The sequence below is a fragment of the Homo sapiens genome, chromosome 4, assembly GCF_000001405.40.
Source record: "Homo sapiens chromosome 4, GRCh38.p14 Primary Assembly".
Classification (NCBI taxonomy): domain Eukaryota; kingdom Metazoa; phylum Chordata; class Mammalia; order Primates; family Hominidae; genus Homo; species Homo sapiens.
The window spans coordinates 48,266,300-48,293,182 of NC_000004.12; the positions used below are offsets into that span (position 1 = coordinate 48,266,300).

At 43.1% G+C, this 26,883-nt stretch overlaps 1 protein-coding gene and 1 long non-coding RNA gene across 6 annotated transcripts in view, besides 3 other annotated features; one reads left to right on the top strand and one right to left on the bottom strand.

Annotated features, from left to right (window-relative positions):
* The window catches only part of TEC (tec protein tyrosine kinase), a 134,056-nt gene extending 130,517 nt beyond the window's left edge, over window positions 1–3,539 (bottom strand). Inside the window, exon 1 of the mRNA NM_003215.3 lies at window positions 3,453–3,539. The gene's annotated coding sequence lies outside the window, so the exon portion shown is untranslated. The remainder of the gene's footprint in view (window positions 1–3,452) is intronic.
* Window positions 3,349–3,478: a silencer, noted in NCBI's record as "silent region_15404". NCBI's record gives its function as "represses an Ori minimal core promoter by ATAC-STARR-seq in GM12878 lymphoblastoid cells {active_cell/tissue: GM12878}" and the evidence as "EXISTENCE:reporter gene assay evidence [ECO:0000049][PMID:35858748]".
* Window positions 3,539–3,608: a silencer, noted in NCBI's record as "silent region_15405". NCBI's record gives its function as "represses an Ori minimal core promoter by ATAC-STARR-seq in GM12878 lymphoblastoid cells {active_cell/tissue: GM12878}" and the evidence as "EXISTENCE:reporter gene assay evidence [ECO:0000049][PMID:35858748]".
* LOC105374445 (uncharacterized) lies at window positions 3,673–26,727 on the top strand. 5 transcript variants are annotated; one of them, XR_925286.3, is made up of 3 exons: window positions 3,673–4,018; window positions 13,280–13,381; window positions 21,822–24,501. It is a non-coding gene; the product is annotated as an uncharacterized LOC105374445 (long non-coding RNA). The 5 variants fall into 5 exon arrangements; XR_007058110.1 differs by lacking the exons at window positions 13,280–13,381; window positions 21,822–24,501 and adding an exon at window positions 25,502–26,727; XR_007058111.1 differs by lacking the exons at window positions 13,280–13,381; window positions 21,822–24,501 and adding an exon at window positions 25,502–26,727 and having other exon boundaries at window positions 3,673–3,767.
* Window positions 25,047–26,042: an enhancer, noted in NCBI's record as "H3K27ac hESC enhancer chr4:48293363-48294358 (GRCh37/hg19 assembly coordinates)". NCBI's record gives its function as "activates a minimal SCP1, AML or CMV promoter by ChIP-STARR-seq in primed H9 embryonic stem cells {active_cell/tissue: H9 hESC(primed)}" and the evidence as "EXISTENCE:reporter gene assay evidence [ECO:0000049][PMID:30033119]".
* Window positions 26,728–26,883: the final 156 nt, after the last annotated feature.

The window sequence follows — 26,883 nt, forward strand, 5'->3', positions numbered from 1 at the left end:
ATGATGAGAATCTCCAGAATGATGACAAAGGGAACCCTTGGGGTGACAAGTGTGCCAATGTACCAAAGGCACCCAGTCTGGATTATAGCAAGCCAGTAGGCTCAGGAACAGCTTCTTGAGGAAAACGAAATTGACAAAATACCTGGTCAATTGAGGGAGAATTTGGAAAACTGGCCAAGAGCTGTGGGTTTAATCAATGAAGAGCACAAAATAAATAAAATGAACAAACAAATCCATTATTAACTCCAAGGAAAATAAAAAGTTATGTTTGGTCACGCCTGTAATCCCAGCACTTTGGGAGCCCAAGGCAAGTAGATCACCTGAGGTCACGAGTTTGAGACCAGCCTGATTAACATGGAGAAACCCCATCTCTACTAGAAATACAAAAATTAGCTAGGCGTGGTGGCACATGCCTGTAATCCCAACTACTCAGGAAGCCGAGGCAGGAGAATCGCTTGAACCCGGGAGGCAGAGGTTGTGGTGAGCCAAGATCGTGCCATTGCATTCCAGCCTGGGCAACAAGAGCAAAACTCTGTCTCAAAAAAAAAAAAAACGAAAAAAAAGTTATGCTTGGCTTAGCTGTGAATTTTGATCTAACCATTATTCAATATTCTGTTTTAACGACTGCAAGAATGGGAAAATAGGGAAGCTGTACTTGCGTTGGGGGTTGGAGGGAAAAAGAGAGCCAACTCATCATCTTCCACAGTGGGAAGTCAACAGATAATGCTTAAAATTGAAAAATCAAGAAGTATCAACTATAAGCCACAAATGGCAAAGAATTACAAGTGGTTGTTTCTGGAAAGGGAGAAATGTAACTTGGATAAAAGTTTAAAACTATAAACCATAACAAAACAAACTTTGGCTTCTGTGCCCACACATTTTTACATTTGTTTGCTTTTTCTTTGTTTCCCTAATAACAATCTGTTTTGAAAAAGCCCATCCTTGTTTCTCTAAACAAAAGAGTATGTAATTCTCTACATCTATACTACAGTAGCTGCGGTCATCTGAGCTCTGAGCAGTCAAACATGGTGGGGAAATTAATTGTTACAATCCAATCCCAGAAGAATTGGTTGAGCTGGGGTAGTGACAATAAGGCAAGCCCAAGCACAGGCGTGTTTGGAGGTGGAGGCAACTACTAGGCCCCTTCCTTCTGGGTTGTTTCTTATTTTTCCACAAACCTTTTATAATAGCATAACCACATCGTACAGGATAATTTTACAATTGCCAGTGACCATGAGCCAATTTCACTTTTTTCCAACAGACTTGAATGCCCAATTTATGATCGTAATTAGTCCAACCAAGGCAGCTGGCCCCCAAGACTGTTGATCTGGGTTTGACTTCAGTAACTCCACTTTGCCTGCTGTAGACTGGACAAGAAGGGAGCATAATAAAGGCTCTGAAGCAGCAGACATCCAAGGAGCATCCACGGGGAACCAGCACCATGCTGAAGATCAACACTCATGCTGACTCTGCAGACCAAGTACCCCTGCCCTGAACAACATGGTGATTTGTCTAGGGGTAAGAATCTGGGAGGGGTGGGGTGGAAGCTAAGGAGCTGGAACAGCTGGGGCAGGGAGGAGAGGCACCAACCTGGTCAACCTGGAGGAACCTGTAGGCAGAGGTGTGGCTGGAGGCCCAAGGCCCTGTCTCCCAGCACTCTGGATACCCGGAGAAAGGCAGAGAGGCCAGTAATTCTTCCCCAAGCGTAAAAGTAGGCCAGACACTGCTCACAACCCTTCCAACCTCCCTATCAAGGGTCAACTTAAGGAAGCAAAGGTTACCATTATCTCAGCTTTATTTTCCACGGTTTGGTAAAACATAGCTGCTGCCCTTGAGTAACTAGCTGCTGAGAAAACATGATTATCTTGATAAAGAATAAAGTAGGTTGAAAATGCTAGAGCATACATTAATATTCTATATCCTTTCCTAGTTGGGAAGATGTGAAAATTCTAGTTGGACCTATGTGGGGCAAAGGTATTGCCAACTAGAGTAAAGCACTGACTGCATGAGTTTACACTTGGCCTATACAGTTCCACAGACCAGAATGTACACACCCTTGTGAGAAGAGTCAAGATCATTAACATAAACACACCACAGTAAGCATCTGCGTTGGCAAGAGTGTAATATATGGATCAGATTAACTGGAGTATGGGGAAAGTGTAAGTCTTCCGTAAACATTGAAAATGTAACTAAACTAAAAAATACTTTCAAATACATAATGTGAAAGTTACCCATACTTCTATTTTCCCCTTAGAAATAAATCTTAATATCCCTTACTCCAGGTGATTATTGCAGAGTAAGCAGCTACCAGTGTCACGACCTAAACTGTTAAATCCCAAACTTTATTTGGGAGATCCGCTGGTTTGTTTCTTCCCAGCTCTTTAGCAGAGAATAATCTAGAAGTGAGTAAATTCTCAGAATTTCCCAAGAGGAAAATGAGCATTCACTGGAAAAATACAAGGAATACGCGCAAAACTTATAACTATTTTGGATAATCTTCAAACCCACTTAGCCACCAGCCATCCTGTTGTTCCAAGTTAACATTAAGATCAATCTTTCGAATCAAATATTCCAGTTTCCAAAGAATAGCAATGGATGAGATTGTTTCCAAACCTGGTACACACCACCATGTTACACGTCCACGGGAAAAATAAAATAAAATAAAATCCACAAGAAATTTAGGATTAAAGAAAATTAGGAAAGTGTACACTCCCAGGTCAAGGCCCTAGTTTTTCCAAGAAGTACATACATTGGCCGGGCACCTGTTTTCAATATTCAAACACAACTTCCCGGGGCGAGGTGGGCGGGGTATTGGGGGGGTGGGGAAGAGAACGTGAACTTCACTGGGTGAGTCACGTGCAACTGCGGAACATCTTGGCCGATACTGCCAAATTTTTTTTTTAATACTTTAAGTTCTAGGATACATGTGCACAACGTGCAGGTTTGTTACATATGTATACATGTGCCATGTTGGTGTGCTGCACCCATTAACTTGTCATTTACATTAGGTATATCTATCTCGACACTGCCAAATTTCAATCAAGATCGCGCCGCCGCCCAACCCGAAAGGAGGCATCAGCCCTGCTCGCCGCTGGGACGTGACCCCAACGCTGAACTTGCCGCAGGGCGGCCTCAGGCCTGGAACTTCAAGAAAAAGGGGCGGGTGTTCCTTAGGAGAGGTCAGTGCGGGAGTTGGAGAAGTGGAGAATCTACTGCCGGCAGGAAGGCGAGGCTGCGCCACTGCGCGCACCTGTCCCTCCTTCCCGGACCGAAGAGGGGACCCAGAGACGGCGCACCCGCGCTCACTGCGGCACGGAGGGGAGAAAATCCTTCCCCGTTCCTCGAGGGGCGTGTGGAAGCCGCCTCTTGCCGCGCTCATCCCCCTCCCCACCCGTCCTCGCCCGGAGTATCGCACTCCCGGGGCCGCCCCAGCCCGCCCGCGGCGCCCTTACCTGGCTGAAGCGCGGCTGCTGGGCGGACCTGGGGAGACTGCGAGGTGCAGTCTGCGCCGCGGAGTCCGGAGCCTAGCGCCCCAGAGTCCAGAGCAAAGCGCCCCGCCCCGCCCTCTGATCTCCCCGTCCCGCCCCCAATCACCCCGCCCCGCCCCGATTGCTGGCCCCGTGGACGCCCTACCCCGCCTCTGATCCTGCAGGCCCGCCCAGTCCTCGATCGCCCCGCCCCGGTCGCTTGGGCCCTGGGTGGCAGGTTTGCGCAGCCCTGCGGCGATTTCAAGGCAAGTGACCGGAATGGGTCGGAAGCGCGTCCCGGTGAGTTTCAGGGAGCGTCCCTTAGGTTTCCGGGGGCGGCGTTGAACCTCCCTAGCCCCAGTCTTCCCATCCCAGGAGACCCGCCCCTAGTGGCTCGAACGCCCCTAGCCAGGAGAGCCCCGAGTAGTGCCACTTGTGGAAGACTACGTGCCTGTCGGAATTAGGAACCGCACCTCCCCTTCCGCTAAGCGGTGGGAGGCCAGGCGGGTGACGCGGAGCAGTGGAGCCATGCAGCCTGTTTTACCAAAAGAGTAAGTGGTTTTCCTGTGAAACCCGAGGGAGCAGTGCATATCTGATACACTTAGAGGGTCACGTGCACTATTAATGTGTTAACATTAAACTCACTGAAGAGTAGAAAACACATGTAAGACTTAACTGTGTGCCAGGCACTGTTCTAGGTACTTCACATGTACTAAAAGTTCTCTGAAGCGTATATTATCAGAATCCCCCTTTTCACATACGGTGCAAGTGAGGCAGAGAGAAGCTAAATAACTTGCCTAATGTCACCCAACTAGTAAATTGAGAAGCTGGGTTGAGAAGCTGGGCTTCAAATCCAGGTCTTCCTCCTCTGGAGTCTCCACTGTTATTCACGGCTATCCTGAATCAGCAAAATCTGTGTGCATCCTATACCAGGAACTGTTCCCATGCCTGGGGAAGATGAGGCAAGGACTCTGCCATTAGGAAACTTTTATTCTACTGTAGGAGAAAGACAATAAGTGATTGTCGACTAAAATTTAAAAATCAAGCTGTTAAAGAATGAAAGTTAGTTTTATTCAGAAGTCTTACTGAGGACTAGAGATGGAGGCCTACAGCCCTGGAGGAGTCTTTTAGAGAGATTCAAGCAGATCCCTCCAACACAGAACTTCCCTTCTCAATTTAGAAACAGTTGGTGAAGATTCAGTATGTGTAAAAGCACATCACAGTTTGGGCTTAAGAGTACATCTGTTTATAGATTACAGAAGCATAATCACTAACCTCATCAGACTTTATCTTAGGTGCAGTAAAAGGCAAGGGCTCAGGCAAGAGACGTGGGGGATCCTGTGTTCTATCTCGTTTTGTCTTCAAAGCATCTTTCCGCCAGCTGCAGGTGGTCACAGAGTCAGGGGCTGTGTGAAATTATGCTGACAAGCAGAAATGAGCAAGCATGGCTTCTTAACGTTTGTTACTTGTCTCACATGATCAACAGGCAAGCAAAAAATTAAACCACTTCGTAAGTGAGGTGTCTTGACTAAAATAAAGCAGGGTGATGGAATTGAGAGTGAAAGGGAGAGGGAGGCTACTTTAGATATGATGTTACTGGAGGCTTCTCTGGGGTAACAGTGGAGCTGAGACCTGAATGATAGGACAGACGGCCAACCCAAGGCTGAAGCTAAGGGAATGGCAAGTGCTTTGATACTTATCACACCTCATGCTTGCTTGGGACTTAAAAGTAGTGCCTTCCTATATCATTTCTCCTTTGATCACTGTAATAACCCTGAGAAGTCTAACAAGATTCCATTTAATACAGTGGTCCCCAACCTTTTTGGCACCAGGGACTGGTTTTATGGAAGATAATTTTTCCATGGACAGGTGTCAGGAAGAGATGGTTTGAGGATGAAACTGTTCCACCTCAGATCATCAGGCATTAGATTCTCGTAACGCGTACACCACCTAGATCCCTCGAATGCACAGTTCACACTAGGGTTTGCACTCCTGAGAGAATCTAAGGCCAAGGCTGATCTGACAGGAGGCGGAGCTCAGCCGTAATGCAGGCAATGGGGAGTGGCTGTAAATACAGATGAAGCTTTGCTCCCTTGCCCACCGCTCAACCGCTTACCTCCTGCTATGCGGCCAGGTTCCTAACAGACCTCAGACCGGTACTGGTCCACAGCCTGCGGGTTGGGGAACCCTGATTTAACAGGGAAAACAATAACAGCAACAACAACTGAGGGTCAGAGAGGTTTCAATGACTTTCCAAAAGTCAGACAACTATCTAGGAAAAGGGGAGATGGGAAGAGGGCACAGATTTGGACCAAGGCCTTCTGATTACAAATCCTCTCTCCAGTGAGGACTTTGAGTATAATGACTAGTACTTTGAATGAATCTAGTAAAATTTCTTTTTTATGATCTACTCTCTCCTCCCTACCCGAGTCTCTCCTGCCTCTTGTCCCATTCAGGTACTTGTTTTGGCTAGTTAACGTAATTTCCCCTAGCACAGATGTACTTTGAGGGGACAGGACCATAAACCATCTGAAACTCTATGCAAAAAAACTGTGTTGGGGGGCAGGAAAGAGAGTTATAGATATATAATTATAGTAATACAGTTAATTTTCTCCCAAGAAAAATGCTTATGTACGTATATTTTTAAGTGAGAGGACTTAGAACTTTTATCATATTGACTGATCCCAAAAAGGTAAGAGCTACTGCCTTAAGGAATTAACTGATATTATGATGGTTAGAAGAACCAGTTTCCAATTCGCCTTGCCTGTTCTTGGTAGGTGATGGTAGCTCATATTCTTGACAATGGTAATGAGGATCTCAATGTTTATGAAGTTTGAAAAGGCAGAAAACCCAGACCCTTACATAATTTCTTCATAAAGTTTAAATTAAAAGAGAGAAAAGTGTCTGTATTGTCCCTACTAACTCTCAGAAAAGCCAAAGAGAACAGATCTGTAAATAAAACACCTAGATCCAACATAATTCTTAATAGTTGGGGTAATTTTCATAAAGTTATAGTTTTCTAAATAAGACATTTGTTACACTATCAATCATACAGTTTAAGTAGGCAATTGCCACAGGTATACCATCCATAGATCACATAATAGAGAACAATGGCAATTTTTTTCAGCAAGGTGTTGAGAAAGAGACAGAGAGACAGACAAAAAAAAGAGGCCATTAGGGAACTTCAACTACATTAAGGAAAAGGTGTAAAAACTGAACTCAGAATGTGGTGGGATTAATAAAAAAGATTTAGTCTTTCTTTAATTTTTATTTTTTAGGTGAAAACAGAATACTACATTTGGGCCTGTATAATTCAAACTTTTACATTCGTCCCTAGTCAAAAGAAGGAATCTAGTAGTTGACTTAAAAAGATTTCTCCCCCTGCCTCCAAAAAGAAGACTCAAACAATATTAGTAAAACCATCTTTATTTTAAGAAAATCAAGATACAGAGAAAAAGGTATTAATATAAACTTCTTGGGAGACAAGACTCTCCCTTCTTACAAGATATCGCTATGGCTTCCATAAAGTTTATTTGTTTAGATGATCAGTATCAGGTTGACATAATTTCAGTTCCTTGAGAGACGAAAATGCCTCTTTTTAACTTACATGTAGATTCCACATGGTACAGAAGAAGACATGCAGAATCAACCTGGAAGGTTTGCAAAAATATATGTGTGTATATATTTGTATTTATAGCTTCTTGCCTTTTTTTTTTTTTTCTGAGACAGAGTCTTGTTCTGTTGCCCAGGCTGGAGTGCAGTGGCACAATCTCGGCTAACTGAAACCTCTGCCTCCTGGGTTCAAGCAATTCTCCTGCCTCAGCCTCCTGAGTAGCTGGGATTACAGGTGCCTGCCACCACGCCTGGCTAATTTTTGTATTTTTAGTAGAGATGGGGTTTTACCATGTTGACCAGGCTGGTCTTGAACTCCTGACCTTGTGATCCGCCCGCCTCAGCCTCCCAAAGTGCTGAGATTACAGGCATGAGCCAGCATGCCCGGCCAGCTTCTTGCATTCTTTTGTGCAAGTCACTGGTTTTATTTTGTAACCATCTTCCTACTGAAAAGGAAACTGGCCCATCATAGATAATTAATACATTTGTTGATGAATAAATGATGATGACAATGACGATAATGCAGACCTTATCAGTCTTCCATGGAGAGTCTGTTCCTACATGAAGATGACTTCATTGTGATCCTATGATATGTCTGCTTCTCCTTCCATCATGTGCTGAAAGTAGTTGCTTCTTTAGAACTATTGCATAGAAGGAAGGAGTTTCAAATATTGGACACAGAATCAATAATCATATTTCTGGGAAGAGATGCTAAATAAATAATTCAAAAGAAATAAAAAGCATCATATGCAAAGTATATTTATAAGATCATTATAATAATAAAATAAATGTCCAATAATAAGGAAATGTTTAAGTAAAATATATTAACAGTATGGAATGTCAAGCTGTCATTTAAAATTACCTATGTTGGTCAGGCATGGTGGCTCACACCTATAATCCCAGCACTTTGGGAGGCTGAGGCGGGTGGATCTTTTGAGCTCTGGAGTTCAAGACCAGCCTGGACAACATGGCGAAACTCCATCTCTACTAAAAATACAAATATTAGCCAGGCTTGGTGGTGCTCACCTGCAGTCCCAGCTATTCGGGAGGCTGAGGTAGGAGGATTGCTTGAGCCCAGGAGGGCAGGGTTGCAGTGAGCTGAGATCGTGCCACTGCACTCCAACCTGGGCAACAGAGCAAGAACCTGTCTCTAAATAAGTTAATTAATTAATTAAATAATAAAATAAGATTACCTATGTTAATGAAAAAGAGATAGGAAATAAAACTTATGAACAAGATTATATTTTTAAAAGTAGAACACAATGCTTTGAGTACCTGTAATTGCAACTAAATACAAATTATGTGGAGGAAAACTGAAAAGTAAGAATTATGATTAACAGTTATTGAGGGGATGTGCCAGCATCCTTTCTAAGCATATTAGATTAATTCATTTAATTCTCACAGCTGTGTGAGGTGGACTATTGTTATCTTCATTTTACAGATGAAGAAACAAAGGCAGAGAAGGTCTAAGTAATAGCCCAAAATCATAGTTATTGAGTGGCAAAGCCCAGATGTGAACATAAAACAGTATAACTCCAGGGTTTACATTTTTAACCTTTCAAAGCTGCCAAAGGGAATGATCTTTGAATCATGAATGATGTTTATACATATATTTCTTGTATAATGTTTTTATGTTGGTTTGATAGTAATTGAAAATTTTTTCGATGTTAGAGCCAGAAAAGAAGATGTAGAAGTAAAACCAGATTGTGCTTAGCAAAAGAGACAGAGAGTTTCAAAGGGGTCCATTATCTCAACAGTTTGATAGTTTATAAAAGCTGAGTTGTTCTGTCACAATAAAATGATATATTGAGTATTATTCCTATAAATAAAAAGAGTTCTCTGGCCTGAGGGCTTGAACAGGCTGTTTCCTCTGCCTGGAGTGCTCTATCTCCAGATCTTTTTGAAGTTACCTCCTTTGCGAGGGTGGCAGCCATGAAAATGCACCCATCACTACGATAGGAGACTGAGAAAACATTGGTGAACAAACCAGACAAAACTCCCTGTTGTAGGGGAGCTTACATTCTGGTGGAAGGTCAATCATTCAGAATTTGATTTAGCTGCAAGTAACAGCACCCCCTTATGGTAGGCTGAATAAGGCCCTCCCAGTGATGTCCATGTCTTAATTCCCTAGAACCTGTGAGTATAACTTATGCTGCAAAACGGTCTTTGTAGATGGGATGAAGTGAAGGATCTTGAAATGAGATTATTCTGCACTATCTAGGTGAGCCCAATGTAGTTACAAGGGTCCTTATATGAGGGAGAAGGCAGGGTATAATGAGATAAGTAGAGGTCAGAGTAAGAGAGAGATTAGAAGATGCTACACTGCTGGCTTTGAAGATGAAGGAAGAGACCACGAGCCAAAGAAAGCAGAAAGCTTCTAAAAGCTGGTGAAGGCAAGAAAACAGATTCTCTCCTAGAGCCTCCAAAAGAAACCAGACACCTAGATTTCACCCCAGTGAAACTGATTTTGGACTCTGACCCCCAGAACAGTAAGAGAATACATTTGTATTGTTGTAAGGCAATAAATTTGTGGCAATGTATTACAGCAGCAATAGGAAACTAACAAGAGCCTTCAATAGAGAGCATCAGGGTCAGGCTGGCATGATGTTCCATAGTGTCAGGGGCCCAGCTCCTTCTGTCTTTTTGTGTAGGTGGAAGAACCTGGAGGGAAGTACGAACAATTCCAGGGACTCATGATGTGAGTGTGCAGCCATGCATTCACTCATGTGGGTATTTCTCAAACCTGAATCAAGTAGGAAGCCCTTTTAAACAAACATTTTCATTTTAATTCACTTAAATATATAAATATAAAGCTACTTATTTATTCTTTATGTGTCTAGCATTTTATACATACTTAAAGCCAAAATAAGTTTTCAAAATAAATTCAAGCAAGATTACGAAACCAGTTATTGAGACCACACACACCCCTACCCCATGTTTTCACCAAAGGCCACACAGAGAATAGTAACAAGACATTCCTATTCCTCCCAGTCAGGGAGGTACCAGTGGAGGCCTAACTTCTTGTATCCATTCATTGGGATGGAACTCCCAACCGCATCCAGCAGTAATCAAGAGCACCCCACCCCCAAGTGTCAATGGAAGAATAGTGGGAAACCTGGATTTTTACCCCTACCTGGCTGTAGATAGAGGAGATGACCTGCATGCCCTCCTTCCCCTGCCAAGACAGTGTCAGAAGAAGCCAGCTAAAACAAAAAGCGTAAATAAAATCCAGAATCTAAAAACAGAATACGCCAAATTTTCTGGTTTTAATTGAAAATAACTCACTATACCAAGAAACAGGGAGATCTCAAACTGAATGAAAAAGATAATCAGTAGATGCCAACACCAAGATGACAGGGATATTAGAATTATCTGGCAAAGATTTTAAATCATCATCATAAAACTGCTTCAATGAACAATTAGAAACATGCTTGAAACAAATGAAGTAAATAGTCTCTGCAAAGAAATTGAAAGTTTGAGTGAAGAAATAGAAAGTAAAAAAAGACCAAATGGAAATTTTGTAAGTGAAAGTACAATAACTACAATTAAAAACTCTGTTCAGGCCGGGCACGGTGGCTCATGCCTATAATCCCAGCACTTTGGGAGGCTGCGATGGATGGATCACGAGGTCAGGAGATCGAGACCATCCTGACCAACATGGTGAAACCCCATCTCTACTAAAAACACAAAAATTAGCCAGGTGTGGTGGCTCGTGCCTGTAGTCCCAGCTATTCAGGAGGCTGAGGCAGGAGAATCGCTTGAACCCGGGAGGTGGAGGCTGCAGTGAGCTGAGATCGCAACACTGCACTCCAGCCTGGGTGACAGAGCGAGACTCCATCTCAAAACAAAACAAAACAAAACAAAACAAAAAAACCTCTGTTCAGCAGAATAGATGGTACAGAGGAAAGAATCAGTGAACTGGAAAATTGAGCAATAGCAGCTACCTAATCTGAACAACAGCGATTTAAAAAAAAATAGTCCTATGGGACTATAACAACAGATCTACCATTTGTGTCTTCAGAGTCTCAGAGGAAGAGGACAGGGCTGGAAAAAGTACTCAAAGAAATAATGGCTGAAAACTCTTCATATTTGGCAAAAGACATAAACCTATACACTAGGAAGTTGAGTTACCCTCACACCGGATAAACACAAAGAAATCCACACTGAGACACATCATAGTCAAACTTCTTAACACTAAAGATAAAGAAAAAATCTTGAAAGCAGCAAGAGAGACATAACACCTTACCAATAGGGAAAAAAACAATTTGAACGACAGCATATTTCTCATCAGGAAATACAAGAAGGAAGTGGCAGGGAATTTTTTGAATGCTGAAATAAAATAACTGTCAGCCAGCCTAGAATCCTATATCTAGTGAAAATATCCCTCAACAATTAAGGGAAATTCAGCTGGGCACAGTGGCTCATGCCTGTAATCCCAGCACCTTGGGAGGCCAAGTTGGGTGGATCACTTGAGGTCGGGAGTTTGAGACCAGCCTGACCAACAAGGTGAAACCCCATCTCTAGTAAAATATACAAAAATTAGCCGGGCGTGGTGATGGGCACCTGTAATCCAAGCTAATCGGGAGGCTGAGGCAGGAGAATTTCTTCAACCCAGGAGGTGGAGGTTGCAGTGAGCTGAGATCACACCATTACAATCCAGCCTGGGCAACAAAAGCAAAAATTCTGTCTCTAAATAAATAAAGAGAAACTCGAGACTTTCTCAGATAAAAGAAAATGAAGACAACTTATCATTAGCTGATCTACCCAAAAAGAATGGTGAAAGGAGGTTCTCTAAACAGGAAGAAATCAATAAAAGATGGAATCTTGAAAGGAAAGAAGGAAAAACACAGTAAACAATAATACAGATAAATAGAGTAAATATTCATTTTCCTCTGCCTTTTGTAAATTATAATGGATAATTGAAGCAAAAATTTAACACCAAGGCCAGGCACAATGGCTCACACCTGTAATCCCAGAATTTTGGGAGGCCAAGGTGGGAAGATCACTTGAGCCCAGCAGTTCAAGACCAGCCTGGAGAACATAGTGAGACCCCATTTCTACAAAATAATAATAATAATAATAATTTAAAAAAATAAATTTTAACACTGAGAGGTTCTAAAAGTATGCAAAGAAAATATTTAGGATATTTATAAATGGAGGAGGGTAAATTTTAGCTCTTTTTTTTTTTTTTTTTTTTTTTTTTTTGAGACGGAGTCTCGCTCTGTCACCCAGAGGCTGGAGTGCGGTGGCGGGATCTCGGCTCACTGCAAGCTCCGCCTCCCGGGTTCACACCATTCTCCTGCCTCAGTCTCCCAAGTAGCTGGGAATACAGGCGCCCGCCACTACGCCCGGCTAATTTTTTGTATTTTTAGTAGAGACGGGGTTTCACCGTTTTAGCCGGGATGGTCTCGATCTCCTGACCTCGTGATCCGCCCGCCTCGGCCTCCCAAAGTGCTGGGATTACAGGCGTGAGCCACCGCGCCCGGCCTTAGCTCTTTTATAGGGAGCTAAAATTTCCATATTTCCCTCAGATGGAAAAATGATAACACCAGTAGAAGTTTTAATAGTGTGGCCGGGCACAGTGGATCATGCCTGTAATCCCAGCATTTTGGGAGGCCGAGGTGGGTGGATCACCTGAGGTCAGGAGTTTGAGACCAGCCTGGCCAACATGGCAAAGCTCTGTCTCTACAAAAATACAAAAAAATAGCCAGGTGTAGTGGCACACGCCTGTAATCCCAGCTACTCAGGAGGCTGAGGCAGAAAAATCACTTGAACCTGGGAGACAGAGGTTGCAATGAGCCAAGATCATGCCACTGCACTCTAGCCTTGGAGACAGAGTGAGACTCCATCTCAAAAAAAAAAAAAAAGAAAGTTTTAATAGTGTAAAACAAATCATTTAAAAAGCTACACAAAGAGATATACTCAGAAGCACTATAGATAAACCAAAGTGGAATTTGAAAAGCATCCCCATCTCAACAACTGATAGAACAAGTAAACAGAAAACTAGCAAGGGTACTCAACAATACCACCAATCAACAGGATCTGACTGACATTTACGGAACACTCCACCTAACAGCAGGATACACATTCTTTTCAAGTATCCACAGAATATTATATACCAAGCTAGACCTATACTAGGTCATAAACCACAACAAATTTAAAATCACTGAAATCATATACATTGTGTCCTCTGATCACAGTGAAATCAAACCAGAAATCAAAAATGGAAGGATAGGTGGCTGGCAAGATGGTTGAATAGGAACAGCTCCGGTCTGCAGTTCCCAGTGAGATCAACACAGAAGGTGGGTGATTTCTGCATTTCCAACTGAGGTACCCAACTTATCTCACTGGGGCTGGTTAGACAGTGTGTGCAGCCCACAGAGGGTGAGCTGAAGCAAGGTGGAATGGTGCATCATCTAGAAGCACAAGGAGTTGGGGAACTCCCTCCCCTAGCCAAGGGAAGCCGTAAGGGACTGTGCCATGGGGTATGGTGCACTCTGGCCCAGATACTATGTTTTTCCCACAGTCTTCACAACCCACAGACGAGGAGATTCCCTAGGTTGCCTACAACACCAGGGCCCAGGGTTTCAAGCACAAATCTGGGTGGCCATTTAGGCAGACACCAAGCTAGTTGCAGGAGTGTTTTTTCATACCCTGGTGGCATCTGGAATGCCAGCGAGACAGAACTGTTCACTCCCCTGGAAAGGGGGCTGAAGCCAGGGAGCCAAGTGGTCTAGCTCTGTGGATCCCACCCCCACAGAACCCAGCAAGCTAAGATCCACTGGCTTGAAATTCTCGCTGCCAGCACAGCAGTCTGAAGTCGACCTGGGATGCTCGACCTTGGTGGGGGAAGGGGCGTCTGCCATTACTGAGGCTTGAGTAGGTGGTTTTCCCCTCACAGTGTAAACAAAGCCACCGGGAAGTCTAAACTGGGCAGAGCCCACTATAGCTCAGCAAAGCCGCTGTAGCCAGGCTGACTCTCTAGATTCCTCCTCTCTGGGCAGGGCATCTCTGAAAGAAAGGCAGCAGCCCCAGTCAGGGGCTTATAGATAAAACACCCATCTCCCTGGGACAGAGCACCTGGAGGAAGGTGTGGCTGTGGGCACAGCTTCAGCAGACTTAAACATTCCTGCCTGCTGGCTCTGAAGAGAGCAGTGGATCTCCCACCACAGCGCTTGAGCTCTGCTAAGGGACAGACTGCCTCCTCAGGTAGGTTCCTGACCCCCAAGCCTCCTGACTGGGAGACACCTCCCAGCAGGGGTCGACAGACACCTCATACAGGAAAGCTCTGGCTGGCATCTGGTGGGTGTCCCTCTGGGACAGAGCTTCCAGAGGAAGAAACAGGCAGCAATCTTTGCTGTTCTGCAGCCTCTGCTGGTGATACCCAGGCAAACACGATCTGGAGTGGACCTCCAGCAAACTGCAGCAGACCTGCAGCAGAGAGGCCTGACTGTTAGAAGGAAAACTAACAAACGGAAAGGAATAGCATCAACATTAACAAAAAGGGTGTCCACACAGAAACCCCATCTGAAGGTCACCAACATCAAAGACCAAAGGTAGATAAATCCACAAAGATGAGGAAAAATCAACACAAAAAGGCTGAAAATTCCAAAAACCAGAATGCCTTTTCTTCTCCAAAGGATCACAACTCCCTGCCAGCAAAGGAACAAAACTGGATGGAGAGTGAGTTTTACAAATTGACAGAACGAGGCTTCAGAAGGTGGGTAATAAGAAACTCCTCTGAGCTAAACAAGCATGTTCTAACCCAATGCAAGGAAGCTAAGAACCTTGAAAAAAGGTTAGAGGAATTGCTAACTAGAATAACCAGTTTAGAGAAGAACATAAATAACCTGATGGAGCTGAAAAACACAGCATGAGAACTTTGTGAAGCATACACAAGTATCCATAGCTGAATTGATCAAGCAGAAGAAAGGATATCAGAGATTGAGTATCAACTTAATGAAATAAAGCATGAAGTCAAGATTAGAGAAAAAAAAAATGAAATGGAATGAACAAAGCCTCCAAGAAATATAGGACTATGTGAAAAGAGCAAACCTCCGTTTGATTGGTGTACCTGAAAGTGACGGGGAGAATGGAACCAAGTTGGAAAACACTCTTCAGGATATTAACCAGGAGAACTTCCCCAACCTAGCAAGACAGGCCAACATTCAAATTCAGGAAACACAGATAATACCACAAAGATACTCCTCGAGAAGAGCAACCCTAAGACACATAATCATCAGATTCACCAAGGTTGAAATGAAGGAAAAAAATGTTAAGGGCAGCCAGAGAGAAAGGTCGGGTTACCCACAAAGGAAGCCCATCAGACTAACAGTGGATCTCTCAGCACAAAACTTACAAGCCAGAAGAGAGTGGGGACCAATATTCAACATTCCTAAATAAAAGAATTTTCAACCCAGAATTTCATATCCAGCCAAAACAAACTAAGCTTCATAAGCAAAGGAGAAAATTACAGACAAGCAAATGCTGAGAGATTTTGTCACCACCAGGCCTGCCTTACAAGAGCTACTGAAGGAAGCACTAAACATGGAAAGGAAAAACTGGTACCAGCCACTGCAAAAACATATCAAATTGTAAAGACTATCAACACTGTGAAGAAACTGCATCAACTAACAGGCAAAATAACCAGCTAGCATCATAATGACAGGATCAAATTCACACATAACAATATAAACCTTAAATGTAAATGGGCTAAATGCCACAATTAAAAGACACTGACTGGCAAATTGGATAGAGTCAAGACCCTTCGGTGTACTGTATTCAGGAGACCCATCTCACATGCACAGACACACATAGGCTCAAAATAAAGGGATGGAAGAATATTTACCAAGCAGATGGAAAGAAAAAAAAAAAAGTAGGGGTTGCAATCCTAGTCTCTGATAAAACAGACTTTAAACCAACAAAGATCAAAAAATAAAGAAGGGCATTACATAATGGTAAAGGGATCAATGCAACAGGAAGAGATATATATGCACCCAATACAGGAGCACTCAGATTCAATAGGCAAGTTCTTAGAGACCTACAAAGAGACCTAGACTCCCACACAATAATAGTGGGAGACTTTAACACCCCACTGTCAATATTAGCTCAACTAGACAGAAAATTAACAAGGATATTCAGGACTTGAACTCAGCTCTGGAATAAGCAGACCTAACAGACATCTACAGAACTTTCCACCCCAAATCAACAGAGTAAACACTCTTCTCAGCACCACATCACACATAGTCTAAAACTGACCACATAATTGGAAGTAAAACACTCCTCAGCAAATGCAAAAGAAAGGAAATCGTAACAAACAGTCTCTCAGCCCATAGTGCAATCAAATTAGAACTCAGGATTAAGAAACTCAAAACCACACAACTACATGGAAACTGAACAACCTGCTCCTGAATGACTACTGGGTAAATAACGAAATTAAGGCAGAAATAAATAAGTTCTTTGAAACCAATGAGAACAAAGACACAATGTACCAGAATCTCTGGGACACAGCTACAGCAGTGTTTAGAGGGAAATTTATAGCACTAAATGCCCACAGGAGAAAGAGGGAAAGATCTAAAATCGACACCCTAACATCACAATGAAAAGAACTAGAGAAGCAACAGCAAACAAATTCAAAAGCTAGCAGAAGACAAGAAATAGCTAAGATCAGAGCAGAACTGAAGGAGATAGAGGCAGATAAAACCCTTCAAAAAAATCAATGAATCCAGGAGCTGGTTTTTTTAAAAGATTAACAAAATAGATAGACCGCTAGCCATTCTAATAAAGAAGAAAAGAGAGAAGAATCAAATAGACACAATAAAAAATGATAAAGGGGATATCACCACTGATCCCACAGAAATACAAACCACCATCAGAGAATACTATAAACACCTCTATGCAAATAAACTAGAAAATCTAGACTAAATGGATAAATTCCTGGACACATACACCCTCCCAAGACTAAATCAGGAAGAAATCTAATCCCTGAATAGACCAATAACAAGTTCTGAAATTGAGGCAGTAATTAATAGCCTACCAACCAAAAAAAGCCCAGGACCAGACAGATTCACAGCCGAATTTTACCAAAGGTACAAAGAGGAGATGGTACCTTTCCTTCTGAAACTATTTCAAACAATAAAAAAAGAGGGACTCCTCCGTAACTCATTTTATGAGGCCAGCATCATCCTGACACCAAAACCTGACAGAAACACAACAAAAAAAGAAAATTTCAGGCCAATATCCCTGATGAACATTGATGCGGAAATCCTCAATAAAATACTGGCAAACCGAATCTAGCAGCACATCAAAAAGCTTATCCACCATGATCAAGTCGGCTTTATCCCTGGGATGCAGGACTGATTGAACATATGCAAATCACCAAACTTCATCCATCACATAAACAGAACCAATGACAAAAACCACATGATTATCTCAATAGATGCAGAAAAGGCCATTGATAAAATTCAACACCGCTTCATGCTAAAAACTCTCAATAAACTAGGTATTGACGGAATGTATCTCAAAATAATAAGAACTATTTATGACAAACCCACAACCAATATCATACTGAATGGGCAAAAGCTGGAAGCATTCCCTTTGAAAACCAGCACAGACAAGGATGCCCTCTTTCACCACTCCTATTCAATATAGTATTGAAAGTCCTGGCCAGGGCAATCAGGCAAGAGAAAGAAATAAATGGTATTCAAATAGGAAGAGAGGAAGTCAAATTATCTCTGTTTGCAGATGACATGATTGTATATTTAGAAAACCCCATCATCTCAGACCAAAATCTCCTTAAGCTGATAAGCAACTTCAGCAAAGTCTCAGGATACAAAATCAATGTGCAAAAATCACAAGCATTCCTATACACCAATAATAGACGGAGAGTCAAATCATGCGTGAACTCCCATTCACAATTGCTACAAAGAGAATAAAATACCTAGGAATACAACTTACAAGGGATGTGAAGGACCTGGTCAAGGAGAACTACAAACCACTGCTCAAGGAAATAAGAGAGGACACAAAGAAATGGAAAAACATTCCATGCTTATGGATAGGAAGAATCACTATAATGAAAATGGCTATACTGCCCAAAGTAATTTATAGATTCAATGCTATCCCCATCAAGCTACCATTGACTTTCTTCACAGAATTAGAAAAAACTACTTTAAATTTCATATGAAACCAAAGAAGAGTCCACATAGCCAAGACAATCCTAAGCAAAAAGAACAAAGCTGGAGGCATCATGCTACCTGACTTCAAACTATACTACAAGGCTACAGTAAGTAATGAAAACAGCATAATACTGGTACCAAAACAGATATATAGACCAATGGAACAGAACAGAGCCCTCAGAAATAACACCACACATATACAACCATCTGATCTTTGACAAACCTGATAAAAACAAGCAATGGGGAAAGGATTCCCTATTTAATAAATGTTGTTGGGAAAACTGGCTAGCCATATGCAGAAAACTGAAACTGGATCCCTTCCTTACACCTTATACACAAATTAACTCAAGATGGATTAAAGACTTACACATAAAACCTAAAACCATAAAAACCCTAGAAGAAAACCTAGGCAATACCATTTAGGACACAGGCATGGGCAAAGACTTCATGACTAAAACACCAAATGTAATGGCAACAAAAGCCAAAATAGACAAATGGGATCTAATTGAACTAAAGAGCTTCTACACAGCAAAAGAAACTATCATCAGAGTGAACAGGCAACCTACAGAATGGGAGAAAATTTTTGCAATCTATCCATCAGACAAAGGGCTAATATCCAGAATCAATAAAGAACTTAAACAAATTTATAAGAAGAAAACAACCTCATCAAAAAGTGGGTGAAGGATATGAACAGACACTTCTCAAAAGAAGACATTTATGCAGCCAACAAACAAATGAAAAAAAGCTCATCATCACTGGTCATTAGAGGAATGCAAATCAAAACCACAATGAGATACCATCTCTGAAGGGGTGGGTTGCCCCTCCACACCTGTGGGCGTTTCTCATTAGGTGGAACGAGAGACTTGGAAAAGAAAGAGACACAGAGACAAAGTATAGAGAAAGAAAAATGGGCCCAGGGGACCGGTGTTCAGCATACGGAGGATCCACGCCGCCGGCATCGGCCTCTGAGTTCTCTTAGTATTTATTGATCATTATTGGGCATTTCCCGGAGAGGGGGATGTGGCAGGATAATAAGATAATAGTGGAGAGAAGGTCAGAAGGTAAACACATGAACAAATGTCTCTGCATCATAAACAAGGTAAAGAAAAAAGTGCTGTGCTTTTGATGTGCATATACATAAACATCTCAATGCCTTAAGGAGCAGTATTGCTGCTAGCATGTCCCACCTCCAGCCCTAAGGTGGTTTTCCCCTATCTCAGTAGATGGAGTATACAGTCAGCTTTACACTGAGACATTCCATTGCCCAGGGACGAGCAGGAGACAGAAGCCTTCCTCTTATCTCAACTGCAAAGAGGTGTTCCTTCCTCTTTTACTAATCCTCCTCAGCACAGACCCTTTATGGGTGTTGGGCTGGGGGACGGGCAGGTCTTTCCCTTCCCACGAGGCCATATTTCAGACTATCACATGGGGAGAAACCTTGGACAATACCTGGCTTTCCTAGGTAGAGGTCCCTGCGGACTTCCGCAGTGTTTTGTGTCTCTGGGTACTTGAGATTAGGGAGTGGTGGTGACTTTTAACAAGCATGCTGCCTTCAAGCATTTGTTTAATAAAGCACACCCTGCACAGCCCTTAGTCCATTTAACCCTGAGTTGACACAGCACAGGTTTCAGGGAGCACAGGGTTGGGGGTAGGGTTACAGATTAACAGCATCTCAAGGCAGAGGAATTTTTCTTAGTACAGAACAAAATGGAGTCTCTTATGTCTACTTCTTTCTACATAGACACAGTAACAGTCTGATCGCTCTTTCTTTTCCCCACACATCTCATGCCAGTTAGAATGGCAACTGTTAAAAAGTCAGGAAACAACAGATGCCGGAGAGGATGTGGAGACATAGGAATGCTTTTATGCTGTTGGTGAGAGTGTAAATTAGTTCAGCCATTGTGGAAGACAGTGTGGCTATTCCTCAATGATCTAGAACCAGAAATACCATTTGACCCAGCAGTCCCGCTACTGGGCATATACCAAAAGGATTATAAATCATTCTACTATAAAGACACATGCACACTTATGTTTATTGCAGCACTATTCACAACAGCAAAGACTTGGAACCAACCCAAATGCCCATCAATGATAGACTGGATAAAGAAAATGTGGCACATACACACCGTGGAATACTATGCAGCCATATAGAAGGATGAGTTCATGTCCTTTGCAGGGACATGGATAAAGCTGGAGACCATCATTCTCAGCAAACTGACACACAAACAGGAAACCAAACACCACATGTTCTCACTCATAAGTGGGAGTTGAACAATGAGAACCCATGGACACAGGGAGGGGAACATCACACATCGGGGCCTGTTGGGAGATGGGAGACAAGGGGAGGGACAGTATTAGGAGAAATACCTAATGTAGATGACAGGTTGATGGGTGTAGCAAACCACCATGGCATATGTATACCTATGTAACAAACCTGCACGTTCTGCACATGTATCCCAGAACTTAAGGCATAATTTTAAAAAATGGAAGGATAACAAGAATATCTCCAAACAAATACTTGGAAACTAAACAACACACTTGTAAATAATCCATGGATTAAAGAGGAAATCTTAAGGGAAAAAAATACTTGGAATTGAATAAAAATGAAAATATAACATATCAAATTTTGTAGGATACCAGCTAAATAGTGTTGAGGGATAAATTTATAGCAGGAAAAGCATCCATTAGAAAAGAGGAAAAAGTTTCAATAATCTAAGCTCCCATTGTAAGAACCTAGAAAGGGAAAAGTAATATAAATCCAAAGCAAACAGAAGAAAGGACATAATAAAGATAAAAGAATAAATAAAATAAAAAATTAATAAAAATAATATAGATAAAAGATAAATCAATGCAATTAAAAATAGAAAAGCAATGGAGAAAATCAGTGAAAGAACTGGTTATTTTAGGAAGTCTCTAAAATTGACAAACATCTAGCAAGATACTACAGGATAAAAAGAGAGAAGACCCGAACTACCAAAATCAGGAATGAAACAGAAGCTATCACTAGAGACTCTTCAGAAATCAAATGGGTGATAAGAGACTGCTATAAACACCTCTACACACATAAATTTGACAATGCAGATAAAATCAACCAATCCTTTTAAAAGTACAAATTACCACATCTAAACCAATATGAAATAAGTGAGTTGAAAAGCCCTATAACTATTGTGATATTATGATACATATATTGGTTTTTATCCAGTGTTCCCGGCTAACTCCCATTGCCCTTGTTACAGTCTTTTGTTACAATGTTGGGGCACTTTAGGCCTCAGAAAGCAAAATCTCCCTCTCTAACCTTCTGCCTTCCTTTCCCCTGTTCCTTTTTCTCCCCAAGGCAGGAATCTTCCTCTGCCTTTCAGTCTTGGAGTTGACCATAAAGAAATCCTCTGACCTACCCTATCAGATTGTAGACTATCAGACCTACATTTTAGGAGAGGTCCTGTCCCATACCCAGAAGGAAGAAATGCTACACAGAGAGGCCAAGAATCTAAATAGACGGGCCTTGCTGTGTTCCTCCGCTCAATTAGTGTTAATTCATATCCTCTTTTGTCCAAACACATTTCTACAGGATTGTCCATGCTTCAATCATTTCTATCCAATGAAATCTCTACAGAAGGCCCAAGGGGACTGATGAGGTATGGAGAACTTCCGGACAGCAGAACATGTGGAGGGTTCTGGAGGGTGGTGTGTCTGGAGAGGGCGTGAAGGCTCCACACACCTTCCCGTATGCCTTTTCTATAAATCCCTTATCTATATCCTTTGTAATAACCTTCATGATATACCAGCAGATGTGTTTCCAAGTTCTGTGAAGTGCTCTAGCAAATTAATCAAACTTAAAGAGAGGGTCATGGGAACCTCAGTTTATAACCTTGTTGGTCAGCACAAGTAAAGCAACCTAGGGCTTGCAATTGGCATCTGAAGTGGGACCTCATCCTTTAACTTGTGGGACTGAGCCCTCAACCTGTGGAATTCTAATGCCATCTCCAGGTAGATGGCATCAGAATTGAATTGGAGGGCACCCAGCTGGTATCCACGGCAGAACTGATTGCTCACTTGCTGGGGAGAAATCTACTGGTCACAGAAGTCTTCTATGCTGATTGTTTTGTGGTGTGAGAACAGAGGAAAAATAGTTTGAGCGCTTTCCACTCAACTATTAAGGAATTGAATACATAATTTTAAAACTCCCCCAAAAGAAATCTCCAGACCCAGATGGTTCACTGGAGAATTCTAAAAAATGTTTAAAAAAGAATTAACTCAAATTTTTAATAATCTCTACCAGAAAACAGAATAGGAAAGGATACTTCCCAGTTCATTATATAAGGCAGTATTACCCCGATACCAAAACCAGAAAAAGTACTGAAAAATAAAACTGCAGACCAATATCCCTCATGAAAATAGATGCAAAATTCCTTACCAGAATATTTGCAAATAATATTCTGCTATAGATAAAAATAATTGTATACTATGTGATATAGTTTGGATATTTGTCCCCACAGTTCAACACAATTATTGTGTTGACCGGTGGGAGGTGGGACTGATGGGAAGTGTTTGAATGGGGGGCTCGGAGAAGTGCCGATCCCTCATGGCTTCGTGCTGTCTTTGTGATAGTGAGTTCTTATGAGATCTGGTCATTTAAAAGTGTGTGGCACCTCCAATTCCCTTGTCCTTGCTCCTGCTTTCTCCACATAAAATGCCTGCTCCCACTTTGCCTTGAGCCATGAGACTAATACATTGCTGGTGGGAATATAAAATGGTATTGCTACTCAGGAAAACAGTTGGACAATTTCTTTAAACATTAAACATACAACTACCTTACAACCTAGCAATTGAACCCATAGGCATTTCTCCCAGAGAAATGAAAACTTATGCTCACACACATAAAAGCTGTACACAAATGTTTATAGAAGGCTTCTTCCTAATAGCCAAAGTCTGGGAAAACCTATGTGCCCTTCTAAAGGTGAATGGTTAAACAAAATGTGTGCTGTGTATCATACTAAGGAATATCAACCCAGCAATAAAAAGTAACAAACTATTGATCCACACAACAACTTAGATAAATCTTCAGAGGATTATGCTTTTATGCATGTAACTTCACAGTATAAAGGAAATACAAACAATGTCTCCCTTCTCTAGTTTATTCCACTTACCCCAGTCCTCCTAGGCTTCTGTGAATTTCAGAAAGCAAAAACAAAAAAAAAAAAACTTTTTGTTCAAGGCGATTTAAAAAAACAACTTCACAAGATAGGGAGAATTGTGGTGTGCTTGTCACATGTTACCAGTGGTAACAATTTTAATGACAAAAAAATCCACTAATTCCAAATGTATAAACATTTAAAAAAGCCAATAAAGAAAGGTTACATACTATATGATTCCATCTACATAACATTCTTGAAATGACAAAACTGTAGAAGTGGAGAACAGATTCGTGGTTGCTAGGTTTTCCTGAAGGGGTGGGGCAAGATGGAAGTGGCTATGGCTATAAAAGGGTAACATGAGTGACCTTTATGGAGATGGAAATGTCCTTTTTTGACTGTATCAATATTGACCTCCTGGCTGTGATGTTGTACTATAGTTTTGCAAAGGAAAACTGGGAAATGTGAACTCTCTGATTATTTCTTACAACCCAGATGTGAATCTATAATTATCTCAAAATTAAAAGTTTAATTAGATTTTTTAATTAATAGCTAATAATGACAATAGCCAACATTTATTGAGTGTTTAATGCTAAGTGTGATCCTATGCAGTTGATCCATTTAATCCTCATAACCACCCTGTGGCATAGGTACAATCATTAGTCCCATTCTACTGATGGTCAGAGTTATTAGGTAACTTGCTCAAGATTACATAGTTAATGTAATTAGTAGACCTGTGATTCAAATTCAGGCTGTCTGGCTCCAGAGTCTGATCTTGACCGCCACGCTAGTATTTAGGCAACTGTACATACCCAGCCTCTTCAGTTTTCCTTGAAATTCACGTCCATATTCCTGCTTGGCAACTGTTAGCTGGGAATCAGTAGCTGCTGCCCCCTTTAGGCAGGGCATTGTAATACATTTGTTACGGTCCCCACTACTCTATTCTAGAGTTTATTTTATTACTCCCTGTTCACTTTACTCATTGATATTTATTTTACCTGTCAGATCCTGTAGGTATTTAAGTTTTCAGACTCTGGCATGCAACATTCATTACCTTGGGCTTGCAAAATAAAAAAGCCACGGAGAGAAAAATCACATTAAATTAAATATTTAAAATAAAAAGAATATTAAAACTATATTGACTTAAACCTAACACAGAAGAACAACCATTAGAATTAACATTAACTCGCCGGGCGTGGTGGCTCACGCCTGTAATCCCAGCACTTTGGGAGGCCGAGGCGGGCGGATCACGAGATCAGGAGATCGAGACTATCCTGGCTAACATGGTGAAGCCCCATCTCTACTAAAAATACAAAAAATTAGCCAGGCATGGAGGCGGGCGCCTGTAGTCCCAGCTACTCGGGAGGCTGAGGCAGGAGAACCTGGGAGGCGGAGCTTGCAGTGAGCTGAGATTGCACCACTGCACTCCAGCCTGGGTGACAGAGCGAGACTCTGTCTCAAAAAAAAAAAAAAAAAAAATGCTGTGTTCCTAACCCACTGAGAAGGATTAAGCTGGGTGGTTTTAGATGGACAGATAATATGGTCCAACTTTGAATTGAGAAGGGGTGAAGTGAAGGCAAAAGTATTTGAAGCCCCAACTCACGTCCTTTCCTCCTGTCTCTGAATTCATCTAAATCAGAATCTCCAGTCACTTTACACTGATGAACCAACCCCAGGCCTCCAGGTAACATTTCCAAGGGAAGCTGTGATGGGCTGAATTATGTCCTCCCAAAATTCATAGGTTAAAGCTGTAACCCCCAAAGTGACTGTATTTGTAAATGGGAACTGTCAGGAGGTAATTAAGGTTAAATGACATCCTAAGTGTGGGGTCCTAATCCAATAGGACTGGCGTCCTTATAAGAAGATAAAGAGATTACAGGAGTGAGCCACCCTGCCCAGCAGAGGCAGGCAGATCATGAGGTCAGGAGATCAAGACCATCCTGGCCAACATGGTGAAATTCTGTTGCCAAGACCAGCTTGGCTGGGGAGACCCTAACCCAGCGGCGCTAGAGGAATTAAAGACACACATGCCCTCTCCCTCTCCCTCTCCCTCTTGCTCTCCCCACGGTCTCCCTCTTGCTCTCCCCACAGTCTCCCTCTCCCTCTCTTTCCACAGTCTCCCTCTGATGCCGAGCCGAAACTGGACTGTACTGCTGCCATCTCGGCTCACTGCAACCTCCCTGCCTGATTCTCCTGCCTCAGCCTGCCCAGTGCCTGTGATTGCAGGCGCGCGCCGCCACGCCTGACTGGTTTTCGTATATTTTTTTTGGTGGAAACGGGGTTTCGCTGTGTTGGCCGGGCTGGTCTCCAGCTCCTAACCACGAGTGATCTGCCAGCCTCGGCCTCCCAAGGTGCCGGGATTGCAGATGGAGTCTCGTTCACTCAGTGCTCAATGTTGCCCAGGCTGGAGTGCAGTGGCTTGATCTCGGCTAGCTACAACCTCCACCTCCCAGCCGCCTGCCTTGGCCTCCCAAAGTGCCGAGATTGTAGCCTCTGCCCGGCCGCCACCCGGTCTGGGAAGTGAGCGTCTCTGCCTGGCCGCCCATCGTCTGGGATGTGAGGAGCCCCTCTGCCCGGCTGCCCAGCCTGGGAAGTGAGGAGTGCCTCTTCCTGGCCATCATGTCTAGGAAGTGAGGATCATCTCTGCCTGGCCGCCAATCGTCTGAGATGTGGGGAGTGCCTCTGCCCCGCCGCCCCATCTGGGATGTGAGGAGCGCCTCTGCCCGGCCGAGACCCCATCTGGGAGGTGAGGAGCGTCTCTGCCCGGCCGCCCCGTCTGAAGTGAGGAGCCCCTCTGCCCGACAGCCGCCCCATCTGAGAAGTGAGGAGCCCCTCCGCCCGGCAGCCGCCCCGTCTGAGAAGTGAGGAGCCCCTCTGCCCAGCAGCTGCCCCGTCTGGGAAGTGAGGAACGTCTCCATCCGGCAGCCGCCCTGTCTGGGAGGGAGGCGGGGGGCAGCCCCCGCCCGGCCAGCCGACCCGACCGGGAGGGAGGTGGGGGGGCAGCCCCCGCCCCGCCAGCCGCCCCGTCCGGGAGGGAGGTAGGGGGGCAGCCCCCGCCCGGCCAGCCGCTCCGTCCAGGAGGGAGGTGGGGGGCGCCTCTGCCCTGCCGCCCCTTCTGGGAAGTGAGGAGCCCCTCTGCCCGGCTGCCACCCCGTCTGGTAGGTGTACCCAACAGCTCATTGAGAACGGGCCATGATGACGATGACGGTCTTGTCGAATAGTAAAGGGGGAAATGTGGGGAAAAGATAGAGAAATCAGATTGTTGCTATGTCTGTGTAGTAAGAAGTAGACATGGGAGACGCCATTTTGTTCTGTACTAAGAAAAATTCTTCTGCCTTGGGATCCTGTTGATCTTTGACCTTACCCCCAACCCTGTGCTCTCTGAAACATGTGCTGTGTCCACTCAGGGTTAAATGGATTAAGGGCGGTGCAAGATGTGCTTTGTTAAACAGATGCTTGAAGGCAGCATGCTCGTTAAGAGTCATCACCACTCCCTAA